Below are 15,567 nucleotides of genomic sequence, written 5' to 3'. Positions count from 1 at the left end.
GAGTATTTTTTTTTTTCTTTTTTCCTTCATGAATTTTTAACTTAGATTATTCTTTCTGGTCTATGGGTTTAGCTGAATGCTCCTATCTTCTGAATCTAGCCAATTCATGATGATCTAGGAATTCTACTTTGTGATTTATTTATCCCCCAGTTCTCCCATTTCTGATCATATCAGTATAGCTGAGTCAGTGGTCTCCTTGGATGCCAGAAGTTGCATATTGCATAGAATCAAAAGATAAAGGCAATTTGGTTAATGGTTATAAAAAAATTCTGCTACTGCATGTAATAATACTTGTTACTTTCTAAAGAGTCTCCTGTTTAGAAATGATTGTAATTTATATAATATGAGTGGATGTTTGAACTTCTAAATAGACTTTTAAATTCCGTCTTGTGAAAAAGGAAGAAGTTCCAATTTGTGTCCAAAATATCATAGACATTGAAAGCCTTTAAAGCCAATTAAAGTCAGTATTGAGTTTAAGATTTTTAAGTCAAGGTCAGAGGAAGGAACTTAAATGTGGAAACTTTGTTTTGAGATGTTGATTCTCTGAAGGCCTGTGGTTAAGAGTATAGACTCTGGCTGGAGTCAGATTGCCAAGGATTAAATCTCTGCTCTACTGCTTTCTGGCTATCTTATTCTAGGCAAGTTATGTATTCTCTCTACTGCTCAATTTCTCATCTATAAAGTAGGAATAATAAGAATACATGCCATGCCTGTAATCCCAGCACTTTGGGAGGCTGAGGTGGGCGGATCACGAGGTCAGGAGTTCAAGACCAGCCTGGCCAACATGGTGGAACCCCGTCTCTACTAAAAATACAAAAATTAGCCAGGCGTGGTGGCGGGAGCCTGTAATCCCAGCTACTCAGGAGGCTGAGGCAGGAGAATCGCTTGAACTCGAGAGGCAGAGGTTGCAGTGAGCCAAGATCGTGCCATTGCACTCCAGCCTGGGCGACAAAGCGAGACTCCATCTCCAAAAAAAAAAAAAAAATACTTGCCTCAGGATTATAAAAACTAAGTGAGATAATCTATATAAGGTGCTTAGCATTAAATGCCTGACACTCAGGTACTCAGTAAATTTTAGCTAGCAGTACTCAGTATTTTGAGCACTTACCACATGCTAAGCACCATGCCCATGCACACCATAGGCAGTTTGTAGAAGAAAATGGTTTTTACACCTATTGCTGTGATGCTTACTGAAGCTTATTCATGTTTCTGTGGACTCCTCGTCTGACATGAACATGAAACAGCTGTAGTTTCTTTTTAAAAACCTCTGGCTCATGAAGCTCCTTATAGCACATATTATGGTTACTACTTGTTTGGTATATGCTATTTTCCTCCTGTTTGTGACCTTACTGTCTCAGCTAGGTTCTAAGGCCTTCACAAACTGGAACTGTACATAAAAGTCTTCTTATACCACTAACAGTTATTGAATGGGTACTGGACAAAGTGTTTATTAATAAAAATAACCATGCAAAGTATCATCTTATTTAAAATAGGTTAAGAAATGGAGTTTTTCAGAAAGAACCTACAACTGGAAAAATCATGGTATTAAGGGCAGCTGAACATAAAATTGTACTAAATATGATAACTAGGCCGGGCGCAGTGGCTCAAGCCTGTACCCCTGTAATCCCAGCACTTTGGGAGGCCGCGGTGGGTGGATTACCTGAGGTCAGGAGTTTGAGATCAGCCTGGCCAACATGGTGAAACCCCGTCTCTACTAAAAATACAAAAATTAGCCGGGTGTGGTGGCGCATGCCTGTAATCCCAGCTAGTCGGGAGTCTGAGGCAGGAGAATTGCTTGAGCCTGGGAGACAGAGGTTGCAGTGACCTGAGATTGTGCCACTGCACTCCACCCTGGCCAACAGTGCAAGACTCTGTCTCAAAAAAAAAAAAAAAAAAAAAAGATAACTATAGCTATAAAATATACTTGTTCTTTTTCCAAAAAACCTGCATAATACAAAAATAATAATTGGATGATAGGGACAAAATCTCAGAACATGCCAAGAAAAACAAGACCAAGAAAGGGAGGGAATATAAATGTGCCAAATTTTTGTTTGTTTTTTTGAGAGAGTCTCACTGTGTTACCCAGGCTGGAGTGTAATGGCATAATCTCAGCTCACTGCAACCTCCACCTCCTGGGTTCAAGTGATTCTCATTCCTCAGCCTCCCGAGTAGCTGGGGTTACAGGCGTGCTCCACTACGCCTGGCTAATTTTTGTATTTTTAGTAGAGATGGGGTTTCTCCATGTCGGCCATGTTGGTCTTGAATTCCTGACCTAAAGTGAACTGCCCGCCTCGGCCTCCCAAAGTGCTGGAATTATAGATGTGAGCCACCACACCTGGCCAAATGTGCCAAATTTTTAATATTTCTGAGTGATGGGGGAGATGGTTGTAATTACTTGAAATTTAAGTAATTTAAAATGTTTTATTTTTAAATTAATAAGTTGAGGAATATACGTTTAAATATATCATTTAAAGATATGAAAACAACCACTATTAGATATAAAACCAGACTCGGTTACATATTCTAAGTAACGGGAGGAAAGTACAAGGGAAGTTTGGTGGGTTATGCCTTTCAAGGTAGCATAGGAATTCCTTTAAATCGCTAATGAAAAACTGTTTTTCTTCCAGACAAGATGAACCTTCCAATAGCAACCAAGAAATAAACTCTGATGACAGACGACCCCAATGGAGACGAGAAGACCGAATTCCTTACCAAGACAGAGAGAGTTACAGTCAGCCTGCATGGCATCATCGTGGACCTCCACAGCGGGATTGGAAATGGGAAAAAGATGGCTTTAATAATACTAGGAAAAACAGCTTTCCACATTCTTTGAGGAATGGTGGTGGACCAAGAGGACGTTCCGGGTGGCATAAGGGTGTTGCAGGAGGCTCCTCGACTTGGTTTCACAACCATAGTAATTCTGGAGGTGGTTGGCTTTCAAATAGTGGAGCAGTAGATTGGAATCATAATGGTACAGGAAGGAATTCCAGTTGGCTTTCTGAAGGAACAGGTGGCTTTTCCAGTTGGCATATGAACAACAGTAACGGAAACTGGAAATCCAGTGTACGTAGTACAAATAATTGGAATTACAGTGGCCCTGGAGACAAATTTCAACCAGGCAGAAACAGAAATTCTAACTGTCAAATGGAAGACATGACTATGCTATGGAACAAGAAATCTAATAAGTCAAACAAATACAGTCACGACAGATATAATTGGCAGCGGCAAGAAAATGACAAACTTGGTACAGTTGCCACATATAGAGGTCCTTCTGAAGGATTTACAAGTGATAAATTTCCTTCAGAAGGCTTACTCGACTTCAATTTTGAGCAGCTGGAAAGCCAAACCACTAAACAAGCAGACACTGCTACTTCCAAAGTTAGTGGAAAGAATGGCAGTGCGGCAAGGGAAAAGCCTCGTCGCTGGACGCCTTACCCTTCTCAGAAGACTCTGGATTTACAGTCGGGATTGAAAGACATCACTGGTAACAAGTCAGAAATGATAGAGAAACCTCTCTTTGATTTTAGCTTGATAACTACAGGAATACAGGAGCCCCAAACTGATGAAACACGTAATTCCCCAACACAGAAAACACAAAAAGAAATACATACTGGATCTCTTAATCACAAGGCCTCTTCTGATTCCGCTGCTTCCTTCGAGGTGGTGAGACAGTGCCCCACTGCAGAAAAACCTGAACAAGAGCATACACCAAATAAAATGCCATCATTGAAATCCCCACTCCTTCCATGTCCAGCCACTAAATCATTGTCTCAAAAGCAAGATCCAAAGAATATCTCAAAAAACACCAAAACAAATTTTTTTTCCCCTGGAGAACACTCAAATCCCTCGAACAAGCCCACTGTGGAAGATAACCATGGTCCTTACATATCCAAACTGCGTAGTTCATGTCCTCATGTTTTAAAAGGGAATAAAAGTACATTTGGCTCTCAAAAGCAATCTGGTGATAATTTAAATGATACTTTACGAAAGGCCAAAGAGGTGCTACAGTGTCATGAGTCATTGCAAAATCCACTTCTTAGCACTTCTAAAAGTACCAGGAACTATGCAAAAGCAAGTAGAAATGTAGAAGAATCTGAAAAAGGGTCTTTGAAAATTGAGTTTCAAGTGCACGCACTAGAAGATGAAAGTGATGGAGAGACATCTGACACGGAAAAGCATGGAACAAAAATTGGAACCCTAGGTTCTGCAACTACAGAATTGTTATCTGGCAGCACTCGAACTGCTGATGAGAAAGAGGAGGATGACCGCATCCTGAAGACTTCTAGAGAGCTATCCACTTCCCCATGTAATCCCATAGTTCGCCAGAAAGAATCTGAATTACAAATGACATCTGCAGCCAGTCCACACCCTGGCTTATTGCTAGACTTGAAAACCTCTCTAGAAGATGCACAGGTTGATGACTCTATTAAATCTCATGTATCTTATGAAACAGAAGGCTTTGAGAGTGCTAGCTTGGATGCAGAGCTTCAAAAAAGTGACATCAGTCAGCCCTCGGGCCCTCTCCTGCCTGAACTAAGTAAGCTTGGCTTTCCTGCCTCACTTCAGAGGGATCTAACCCGGCACATTAGTTTGAAGAGCAAAACTGGAGTACACCTTCCTGAGCCAAACCTCAATAGTGCCCGCCGCATTCGCAATATTAGCGGTCACCGAAAGAGTGAGACAGAGAAGGAGTCTGGGCTCAAGCCAACCCTACGGCAGATTCTAAATGCATCTCGGAGAAATGTCAACTGGGAACAGGTCATTCAGCAAGTAACCAAGAAAAAGCAAGAGCTGGGCAAAGGCTTACCCAGGTGTGTGCTGCTTTTCGGTGTCTTTTTTTTCCTCACTTTCTTTTAAAGTAACCCTTTGACCCTGATCAAGAGAATTCTACGTGTTTCATTTAATTAAATGTTTGCCAACAATATCTGTTGTAGATGTCTTGATTTAATATCAAATAGTGACTGATACTCTATGACAGATGGAATAAAGTATTTCCTAGCAGAGAGTGCAGGTTAAAATGGAAGCACACCTACTTGAGAAACAAGGTGGTGACGTAGGAAAAAAGTCATGGCTTTACAGGGGTAAAATCCGTCACTTTATAGGGGTAGAAAATGACAGCATAAAAATGTAGAGCTATAGATCTCTGTCTTTTTCTAGATCTTAATTTTGGAATGCGTGCTATAACTTTTAAATACAACTGTTCTCATTACCTTTTACTTAGAACCTACGAATAGTTAACTTTTCTGTATGTACTCTGGGCATTATCTTTATGACTACAACATGCTTTCTCTTAAGCGCTTGTGTAATATTTTGGCTCTTCATCTTATGTTGAGGTACTAGACTTTTCTGAATGCTAAAACAGTGTTCAACGTAAGTTTGCTACTTGAAAGTCATAACTCTGCTGCATGATGATACAGTTCTCCAGGCTTCAGGGGCATTTCTGTACTTGTTGAAATAATGGGTTTATTTCCCCCCACTTTCCTTTCCCACACCTTGTGAGTAGCATTTGAAATTGTAAGTATAAAGCACTTGTAAGTGCTCAGTAAAAGGGTTTTTTTTTTTGTTTTGGTTTGTTTGCTTTTAAAAATTATATGCTGTATGTATTATTATAGATTTAGCGCTCCATATGAAACAAAACTCAATTTTTACTCCCTCAAATATATTATTATAGCTGTATACAAACCTCTAATCTGGTACTTGTGACAACGTAATATATTTATATCTGTACCACTGACTAGACTGTGAGCCCCTTGAAGGCAAGAGCCACCTTACTTTTTATAACCTCAGTGCTTGAGAGAGCCTGGCACATTAAAAAATAATGCCCCTCCCAACAACCATATCCAATTTATGTTTTCATTTTTTCTTTCTTCCTTAAGGTTTGGCATAGAAATGGTACCCCTTGTTCAAAATGAACAAGAAGCCTTAGATTTGGATGGGGAACCTGATCTGTCCAGTCTAGAAGGATTCCAGTGGGAAGGTGTTTCCATTTCCTCGTCCCCTGGCTTGGCAAGAAAGCGAAGCCTTTCTGAGAGCAGCGTGATCATGGACAGAGCTCCTTCTGTGTATAGCTTCTTCAGTGAGGAAGGTACAGGCAAAGAAAATGAGCCCCAGCAGATGGTTTCACCTAGTAACTCATTGAGGGCTGGACAGAGCCAGAAAGCAACCATGCACCTCAAACAAGAAGTGACACCTCGGGCTGCCTCCCTCCGAACAGGTGAAAGGGCTGAAAATGTTGCTACCCAAAGGCGACATAGTGCACAATTATCCTCTGACCATATAATACCTTTGATGCATTTGGCAAAAGACTTGAACAGCCAGGAGAGGTCTATACCACCGTCAGAGAATCAGAATTCCCAGGAGAGTAATGGAGAGGGAAACTGTCTGTCATCAAGCGCATCCTCAGCCCTTGCGATCTCCAGTTTAGCGGATGCAGCCACAGATAGTAGCTGTACCTCTGGTGCTGAACAAAATGATGGCCAAAGTATTAGAAAGAAACGAAGAGCCACTGGAGTGAGTATAATTCCCTCTGCTTTTTGTAGAACATCGCATGTGGCAAGTTGGTTGCTTATGAAAAAAGGTTCAACTGTTTTTCTTGGGTATCTGGGATTGTGATTCTCTCAACTTCTAGAAGAATTGTGAGGTTCTTACTTTCATCCTACTGGTTTCTTACACTGAGTAATTCTGCTAAATTAAATGTAATCTAATATGAATGTACAGTACCAGGAAAATATGAAGTCATATCTAAAACCAGTGTCCAAGCCAATGATTCTTTGTATCACCTGACCAAGGATAAGTCACATATTCAGCTGTAACCCAATCTGTTTTCATAGATGCGTTCTGCACTGCTACTGAAGAAAGGCGTTCTACTGTTGCACTTGTAGGGCATGGATGATTGCTGGATTCAGGAGTGATAGGCTTAACACTAAGATGGTTTTAATACTATTAGAGTGCATATATATGAGCAGAGTATAGAAATATTTTTAGTCTGTGTAACTCTGTCCTTCGTCCTTCAGTTACCCACCCTGGCCTTTAAGAGTCTTTTATTTCACTGATACCACTTCTGCTCTTCCGGCATTTCTGCCGCTAATATTGGCTTAACCCTCTCAGTATCCCTTTCTGAAAAGAAAGAGTTGCTGGTAGTGATACAGTCTGGGATCTGGCAATGTGAAAAAAAATGGGTTCTTCTCTTCATTATTTATTTATTTATTTTATAATATTTTAAAATTTATATTAGAGATGAGGTCTCACAATGTTGTCCATACTGCTCTGGAACTCCTGAACTCAAGCAGTCCTCCTGCCTCAGCCTCCCAAGTAGCGGGGACTACAAGCATGTGTCACTGTGCTGGGCTTCTCTCATTTAATACTGAGGTGATAAGCATAGTAGTTAAGGTCATGAATTTTAGACTTGCTTCAAATTGCAATTCTGCTCCTTTGAGCTAGATGCTATATGTAGTGGATGTTACTGGATGACTTAAAATACACTTCAAGCTGAGGGATTGTCCTATGACAAAGAGCTTGTCTCATGGACTGTTAAGCTTTTTGTTGTAAAGGTTTTCTTGCTGAAATTTAAAGTAGAAACTATGCCAAGTTATAAATCAGATATATTTATTTTACTGGCTTTGTCTATACTTCTACTTGTGCCTTACTACACCAAGATGAAATGCTTTCCCTGACCTCCATGGGCTTTCCTACCTCTAGGATGCTAGGAGGCACTTCACCCTGGATTCTTTTTTTTTAAATCAGATACGTTTATTCAACTAAAGTTTGCGTTGGTACCACGTGCGTGAGACTTCTACGATCATGTTAGAGATGGTAGCAATAGTGAAGAACAGTGTATGGCTATCTTAGAATTGATTCCTTTTTCTCCTCTTGGATAATGGCTTTTACACATTGGATTTTATTCAGTTTTCTTTATCCTTCCAGGATGGATCTTCTCCTGAACTCCCAAGTCTTGAGAGAAAAAATAAAAGAAGGAAAATTAAAGGAAAAAAAGGTATGGTGCAGAATATTTTGGAAGAAAGAAGTTGGTGTTTTTTGGTTTTTTTTGGGGGGTGCGGGTTTTTGGTAACCTCCAACTCTTGGGCTCAAGCAATCCTCTTCTCTCAGCCTCCCGAGCAGCTAGGACTACTGGTATGTGACACTACATTAATTCTTTTATTTTTTTGTAGAGACAGGGTCTAGCTATATTGCCCAGGCTGGACTCAAACTCCTGGACTCCAGTGATCCTCTCACCTTGGCCTCCCAAAGTGTTAGGATTATAGATGTGAGCCACCGTGCCCAGCCCCAAGAGGTTCTTGTAGCAGTTCAGCGTTTGTGCAGCTTGACACAGAGCATAGCTTGTCATTTATCAAACACTGATTGTCCATTTACTTTTTTTGGACATTTTTGTTGCCTTGCTTAAGAGGAAAGAAAAGTTTGATTTCCTAATACATCCAGTTAACAACTGTAGAAGAAATATATGATGTCACATAGACTTGTAAGCCAAGGTTAGTATACCACTTGGACAATATAAAGCCAGGAAGTTTCCTTGAGCCTTTTCAGTGGGATGAAATGTGTTGGCCCTCTTGGTCATGTATAGCCATTTCTCTCACTTTCAGTTTTTGAGGCATCTTGGTTGCTTCCCCGCTGCCCCACCTCCACACTCCCTTCCTTGGTTGCTTTTCTAAAGTGAATTATGGAAAGAAGTTATTAACATTGCTCCCTCATTGATGTATTTCTGTGATTCTTGCTTTTCCTTGACTCTAACCCAGTTCTAGTATAAGGGCTAGTCCTGGAAGTGATTGGATGAGGCTTGAGTGAGTGGATGTGATGGATAAGGGAGGAGTCAAGGACAACCCACATTTCTGGCTGGGCCAACCAGATGGAGCATATGTAGAGCTAGAAAACTCCATGAGAGGAGCAGATTGAGAATAGAGAAAGATGATGAATTCCCTCAGGGATTCTTTGACTTAAAGGACCTTTGAGATAACCTAGCTAGAAATATCATAGTCAGTAGTTGGATATGTGGGTGTGGAGCTTAAGGGAGAGGTCCTGGCATATTGAATAGGAAACAGACAAACACAATGATGGTAAATACATACACAGAACATTTTATTCAAACTAAGTTAAATGTACTATTTCAAAGCTGTATTTTCTTCAGGAAGTCTTCTCTAATAAAAACAATTTTTAAGTCAACTAACAGACTAAATATGGATTGGAAAGAGAGTGCAAGCAGTCTAGGTCTAGAGTCCAATCTAAGCAAAAGTCCTGTGTGAAGACAGTGGTAGATAAAGGAAGAATGGGAAACGAGTCCTAGAACAGGTGGTTTGCATGGGACAGATTTCACCTGGAAAGGTGGTGGTAGAAGGCGGTGATTAGATGAGACAGAATGATGTGATGGTACACTGGAGCTTATGAGATACCTCCATCTTAGCAGTTCTCACTTTTGGTTCCTAGCTTTGATATCATTGTGCTTGACTAAATGTTTTATGAATTTCCAATGACCTACTGAGGAGAACATAAAGTCTTATCCTAAATAATGGGTATAGTTTAGTCTTCTGAGCTGTGTGATGAGAGGGAAATCTCTCGTATTAACCTGAACCTTATGATTTCTTTTGGCAGAACGTTCTCAGGTTGACCAGCTGCTGAATATTTCTTTAAGGGAGGAAGAACTTAGTAAGTCATTGCAGTGCATGGATAACAATCTTCTGCAAGCCCGTGCAGCCCTTCAGACAGCTTATGTGGAAGTTCAGAGGCTACTTATGCTCAAGCAGCAGGTAACAGCATGTGGAGGATTTAATAAAAATGGATCATCTCCGAAATCTTGTTTTGTGCTGCCAAACCCATGTCTGGAGTCACCCCAAAAGCAATGGCAGGGGAGTTTCCACAAGGGAAGTGCCCCAGACTGTGCCTAATGGGGGACAGTTAGGATTCCAAAGAAAGAAGCACTAAATGCCAGGGTGATGAGTCCAAAGCATTTATTAGGAGAGCTTACTTACAGAGTAGGCTGCAGCAGTCCCCACAAGGGTGTTCTCCCTAGGTATATCCACAGCCAGGGGGCGGGATGTGGAGTTTATATGAGGGTTTAAGGAATTTGGCTCAGGGCCAGGGCCAATTTCTTTCAGTGTTTTGGGCAACAACCTAGATACTTTTATCAGTGCCTGGGAATCTTCAAGGCCCCAGGTAGGGTTCAAGCCTGCTGGAGAAAACCTGCGGCTGGCTGGGTCACAGAGCAGTCAAGACACTCTGATTTTTGGTCAGGACATAGAAGAAAAATGGGGAGACCTAGAGGACCTTACAAGTTGGATTTCAAAATGCTTAATAAAATACTTTATTTTTAGATAACTATGGAGATGAGTGCACTGAGGACCCATAGAATACAGATTCTACAGGGATTACAAGGTATTCAGAGGGCATCTGATGGATTGGGCCCTCTATAGCGTGTTACTTTTTTGTTTTCTCTGCTTTTTTTTTTTTTTTTTTTTTTTTTTGGAGACAGAGTCTTGCTCTATTTCCCAGGCTGGAGTGCAGTGGTGCAATCTCTGCTCACTGCAACCTCTGCCTCCCAGGTTCAAGTGATACTCGTGCCTCAGCATTTGATTAGCTGGAATTACAGGTGCCCACCCCACCCCCAGCTAATTTTTGTATTTTTAGTAGAGACAGGGTTACAGGGTTCGCCATGTTGGCCAGACTGGTCTCGAACTCCTGACCTCAGGTGATCCGCCTGCCTCAGCCTCCCAAAGTTCTGGGATTACAGGCATGAGCCACTGCACCAGGCCTTTTTGTTCTCTTTGAGGGGATGAAAAGTAGTCATGAAAAGGTCATGTTATTTCTCTCCTGTCTCCTTGGTTTCATCCTTTTTTTTTGTTTTTTTGAGACAGGGTCTTGCTCTGTCACTCAGGCTGGAGCGCAGTGGCACGATCATGGCTCACTGCAGCCTTGACCTCCTGGGCTCAAGCAATTTTCCCACCTCACTCCCCCCAGTAGCTGGGACTACAGACGTGTGTCACCATGCCTGGTTATTAAAATTTCTAACTTTTAATTTTATAAAATTATGATTTAAATTGTAAAAATTTAAAGGTTATAAAAAGTTATATAAAATTATAAAAAGTTATAAAAATTAAAAAATGCTTTTATAGAGATGGAATCTCCCAGTGTTTCCCAGGATAGTCCCAAACTCCTGGGCTCAAGCAGTCCTCCTAACTTGACCTCCCAAATGGTTGGGATTACAGGCCTGAACCACCACGCCTGGCCAGTTTCTTCCTTCTATAGAAAGGTCTGTAAACTGTGCATCCCAAAAATGTTTAGCAACAGACAATATGTTATGGAAAGAGTTTTGATTAGGAATCAAAAGGCCTGGGTTCAAATCTTCTCCCTTCCATTAGTAGCCTATATAACTTTGGATAAGTCATTTAAAATTTGAAAAATTGGAATGTTGCTAGGCACAGTGCCTCATGCCTGTAATCCCAGCACTTTGGGAGTCTGAGGCAGGTGGATTCCTTGAGCCCAGAAGTTTGAGACCAGCCTGGGCAATGTGGTGAAACCCTGTCTCTACAAATAAATACAAAAATTATTGATAATTATTATTAGTAATAATAATAATTCCAGCCTGACCAACATGGTGAAACCCCATCTCTACTAAAAATACAAAAATTAGCTGGGCATGGTGGCGTGCTCCTGTAATCCCAGCTACTCAGGACGCTGAGGCAGGAGAATCGCTTGGACCCGGGAGGTGGAGGTTGCAGTGAGCCGAGATTGCGCCACTGCACTCCAGCCTGGGTGACAGAGTGAGACTCTGTCTCAAAAAAATAATAACAATAATAGCTGGGCATAGTGGCATGTGCCTATAATCCCAGCTGCTTGGGAGGCTGAGGCAGGAGAATTGCTTGAGTCCAGGAGGTCAAGGCTGCAGTGAGCAGTGTTTGCACCACTGCACTGCAGCCTGGGTGACAAAGCGAGACCCTATCTCAAAAAAAAAAAAAAAAAAAAGAATGTTGATGCCTATTCTCTCTGTATCCTTGGTGGTTGTAGAGATTATATTCTCCATATTTCGGAGAATTATGAGGGACTATACTAATATACTTATTTATAATTCTTTTCTAATGTTTAAAAATACAAATTAGCTCAGACACAAATGACTTTTCAGATAACATTTTTGCATTTCTATGTATGTATGTTTCCCATTCTAGAAACATATGAACCTTCTGAGCACCCAGACCAGGTTCCCTGTAGCCTCACACGAGAACGAAGGAACAGTAGATCTCAAACATCCATTGATGCCGCACTGCTGCCCACTCCCTTTTTCCCACTTTTTCTGGAGCCTCCATCTTCCCATGTGTCTCCATCACCCACCGGAGCCTCTCTTCAAATAACCACGTCTCCTACTTTCCAAACCCATGGCAGTGTCCCTGCTCCAGACTCATCAGTTCAGATTAAACAAGAGCCCATGTCTCCTGAACAAGATGAGAATGTGAATGCTGTGCCACCAAGCTCTGCCTGCAATGTGTCCAAGGAATTACTGGAAGCTAATAGTATGTAAGCTTTTCTCTGGGTTAAGGGCATCCCAGTAGTGAGACTGGGGCATTTTTATATGAGTGATATAAGCCATACTTGCTCATTAAAACTAAAATGAGCAAGTACAACTAATTTGTCACTGGAATTCTCTTCATATATACAGGAGGATTCTTTTAAAATATTTTAGAGAATGTAATTTAAATATCAGTCATTTTCTTTCATTTCCTCTAATCTAGGGTTAGAGTTGACTTTGTATTAGCACCCACAAGGTTCCATTTATTAGGATAAGTACAAAATTTGTTTCGTGTGAAATAAATGGGGTTGAAGTTAATTCAGCCAATTTTCTGAATAAGGTCTATCCTCTGAATTTCTTTGCACTTACTGTCTATATAATCTCAAATACAAACCAGGATTAATATAAGCGTGAGAGGCAGGTGGCCATGATGGGGTTTGGAATCATCTACTAAGAACTTGCTGTTGAGAAATAGCCAGGGTTTTCACTCTTTTCAAAAAATAACACTTACCTGGTTATCATTTGAGAATACGTCTAAGCTATGTAAAATCCTGTTAGAAGTTTGCATTACCACAGTGGTGCTGTATTTGAAAATTAAGTCCAACAAACTGGCATTGTGTGGTTTCCTGAGCAAAAGCAAAAAGTTTAAAAAATTACTCTAGATTTTACTACCAGTACTATGTTGCAATATTAATCTAGATGTTAGTATCAAATATATAGCTTATTTATTTATTGAGACAGAGTCTCACTCTGACACTCAGGCTGGAGTATGGTGGCATAATCACAGCTCACCACAGGCTTGACCTCCTGGGCTCAGTTGATCCTCCCACCTCATCCTCCAGAGGAGCTAGGACTACAGATGCCTGCCACCATGCCCGGCTAATTTTTTTTTTTTTTTTTTTTAAGTAGAGATGGGGATTCACCATGTTGCCCAGGCTGGTCTTGATCTCCTGGGCTCAAGTGATCCACCCGCCTTGGCCTCCCAAAGTGCTCAGATTACAGGTGTGAGCCACTGCGCGTGACTTAGCATATATATATATATATATATATATATATATATATATATATATATATATATTTTTTTTTTTTTTTTAGACAGAGTTTCGCTTTTTGTTGCCCAGGCTGGTGTGCAATGGCATGCTCTTGGCTCACGGCAACCTCTGCCTCCCAGGTTCAAGTGATTGTCCTGTCTCAGCCTCCCGAATAGCTGGGATTACAGGCGCCCACCACCATGCCCAGCTAATTTATGTATTTTTAATAGAGACAGGCTTTCACCATGTTGGCCAAGCTGGTCTTGAACTCCTGACCTCAAGTGATCCGACCGCCTCAGCCTTCCAAAGTGCTGGGATTACAGACATGAGCCACCTTGCCCAGCCCCTAGCATATTTTTAAAAATTATTTTAAATTTTTGTGGGTACATAGTAGGTGTATATATTTATGGATTACATGAAATATTTTGGTACTATTATTTTTCGTATTACATATTATTTCAATCTTTCTTAAATCATATTTTTGTGTTTACATGTAGAACTTGTACAAAGGAGCAGTCATATATAACCTGACTTTTTCCATTTAATATATAATGATTTTTCTGTTGTAAAAATAATTTATCTAAAGTATTTTATATTACAAGTTGCATAATATTTGAATAGTTGCATAATCTGGCTAAACAATAATTTATGTGGTGAATCTTTTTTGAATATTTAGTTTTCTAACTTTTTTCATATTCTGTGTAACACTGCATTGTATATGTCTTTGAGTACATCTGTGATTATTTCATCACTTTTAATTCCTAGACATGAAGTAACTAAGTCAAAGGAAATTGACATTTCTAAGTCAGCAAATTTTTTTAACTACTAAGCTGTAGCTAAATTGGATGGGTGTGGATAATGAAAACTTCAAAGAAATAAAAGTAAAAGGACTTCAGCTAAGTAGACATTTAAGTGTCTACTAAGAATAAACCACAATGTTAAATGTGTGGACATTTAAAACAAGAAAAAAGATTGATAGAAACAATCCCTCCCCACAAGGAGCTTTTGTAGGGAATAAGACACACAGTGTTTGTGAGATTCACGCAAGGCAGAGGGTAGTAAGTGTTGTCATAGGAGTGTATGTAGGTGATGGGAAACTGAGGGGTGAGATACCAGCTGAAACAGTCATGGTTTTCTGAACATATCATTGAAATATTTGGTAGAGTTTCAGTCAGTGATAAATTGCAGCAAACACAAAAAAGGATGCAATAATTTTTTTCCTCTCAATTCAGGAGAGATCAGTGACAGTTGTCCAGTTTATCCAGTCATCACTGCTAGATTGTCCTTACCAGAGTCAACAGAAAGTTTCCATGAGCCTAGCCAAGAACTGAAGTTTTCTGTGGAGCAAAGAAATACCAGAAACAGAGAAAACTCTCCCTCTTCCCAATCAGCTGGTCTTTCTAGCATAAATAAAGAAGGGGAAGAGCCAACCAAAGGCAATAGTGGGTCTGAAGCCTGTACCAGTTCTTTTCTAAGATTGTCTTTTGCTTCAGAAACCCCTTTGGAGAAGGAACCCCACTCTCCAGCTGACCAGCCTGAACAACAGGCAGAATCCACTTTGACATCAGCTGAGACTAGGGGAAGCAAGAAAAAGAAGAAACTCCGGAAGAAGAAAAGTCTACGGGCTGCCCATGTTCCTGAGAATAGTGACACTGAACAGGATGTTTTGACTGTTAAACCTGTAAGGAAAGTAAAAGCTGGAAAGTTAATTAAAGGGGGGAAAGTAACAACCTCCACTTGGGAAGACAGCAGGACTGGTCGGGAGCAGGAGAGTGTCAGAGATGAGCCAGATAGTGACTCGTCTCTGGAAGTCCTAGAAATTCCTAATCCTCAGTTAGAAGTAGTAGCCATTGATTCTTCAGAATCAGGAGAAGAGAAACCAGACAGCCCATCTAAAAAGGATATTTGGAACTCTACAGAGCAAAACCCACTAGAAACGTCTCGTTCTGGGTGTGATGAAGTTAGCTCTACCAGTGAAATTGGCACTCGCTATAAAGATGGCATCCCTGTAAGGTAAGAATATTGTATTGG

At 40.6% G+C, this 15,567-nt stretch overlaps 1 protein-coding gene across 13 annotated transcripts in view; it reads left to right on the top strand.

The window, feature by feature from the left end:
• The window catches only part of ZNF106 (zinc finger protein 106), a 78,319-nt gene that overhangs the window by 36,560 nt on the left and 26,192 nt on the right, over window positions 1-15,567 (top strand). For 3 of the 13 annotated variants that reach the window (NM_001381993.1, NM_001366845.3, NM_022473.3), the window contains 7 exons: window positions 2,628-4,811; window positions 5,877-6,510; window positions 7,924-7,993; window positions 9,601-9,755; window positions 10,320-10,380; window positions 12,168-12,509; window positions 14,769-15,549. In NM_001381993.1, the coding sequence (NP_001368922.1) occupies window positions 2,628-4,811; window positions 5,877-6,510; window positions 7,924-7,993; window positions 9,601-9,755; window positions 10,320-10,380; window positions 12,168-12,509; window positions 14,769-15,549 (4,227 nt within the window). Of the gene's footprint in view, window positions 1-2,627; window positions 4,812-5,876; window positions 6,511-7,905; window positions 7,994-9,600; window positions 9,756-10,319; window positions 10,381-12,167; window positions 12,510-14,768; window positions 15,550-15,567 lie in introns of all 13 variants that reach the window. The other 10 variants (NM_001381996.1, NM_001366844.3, NM_001381998.1 and 7 more) reach the window with 5 other exon arrangements.

This window comes from Homo sapiens, chromosome 15 (assembly GCF_000001405.40).
Source record: "Homo sapiens chromosome 15, GRCh38.p14 Primary Assembly".
Classification (NCBI taxonomy): Eukaryota; Metazoa; Chordata; class Mammalia; order Primates; family Hominidae; genus Homo; species Homo sapiens.
Note: the sequence above shows the minus strand (reverse complement) of the source record. Positions and strands in the feature narration are given on the sequence as shown.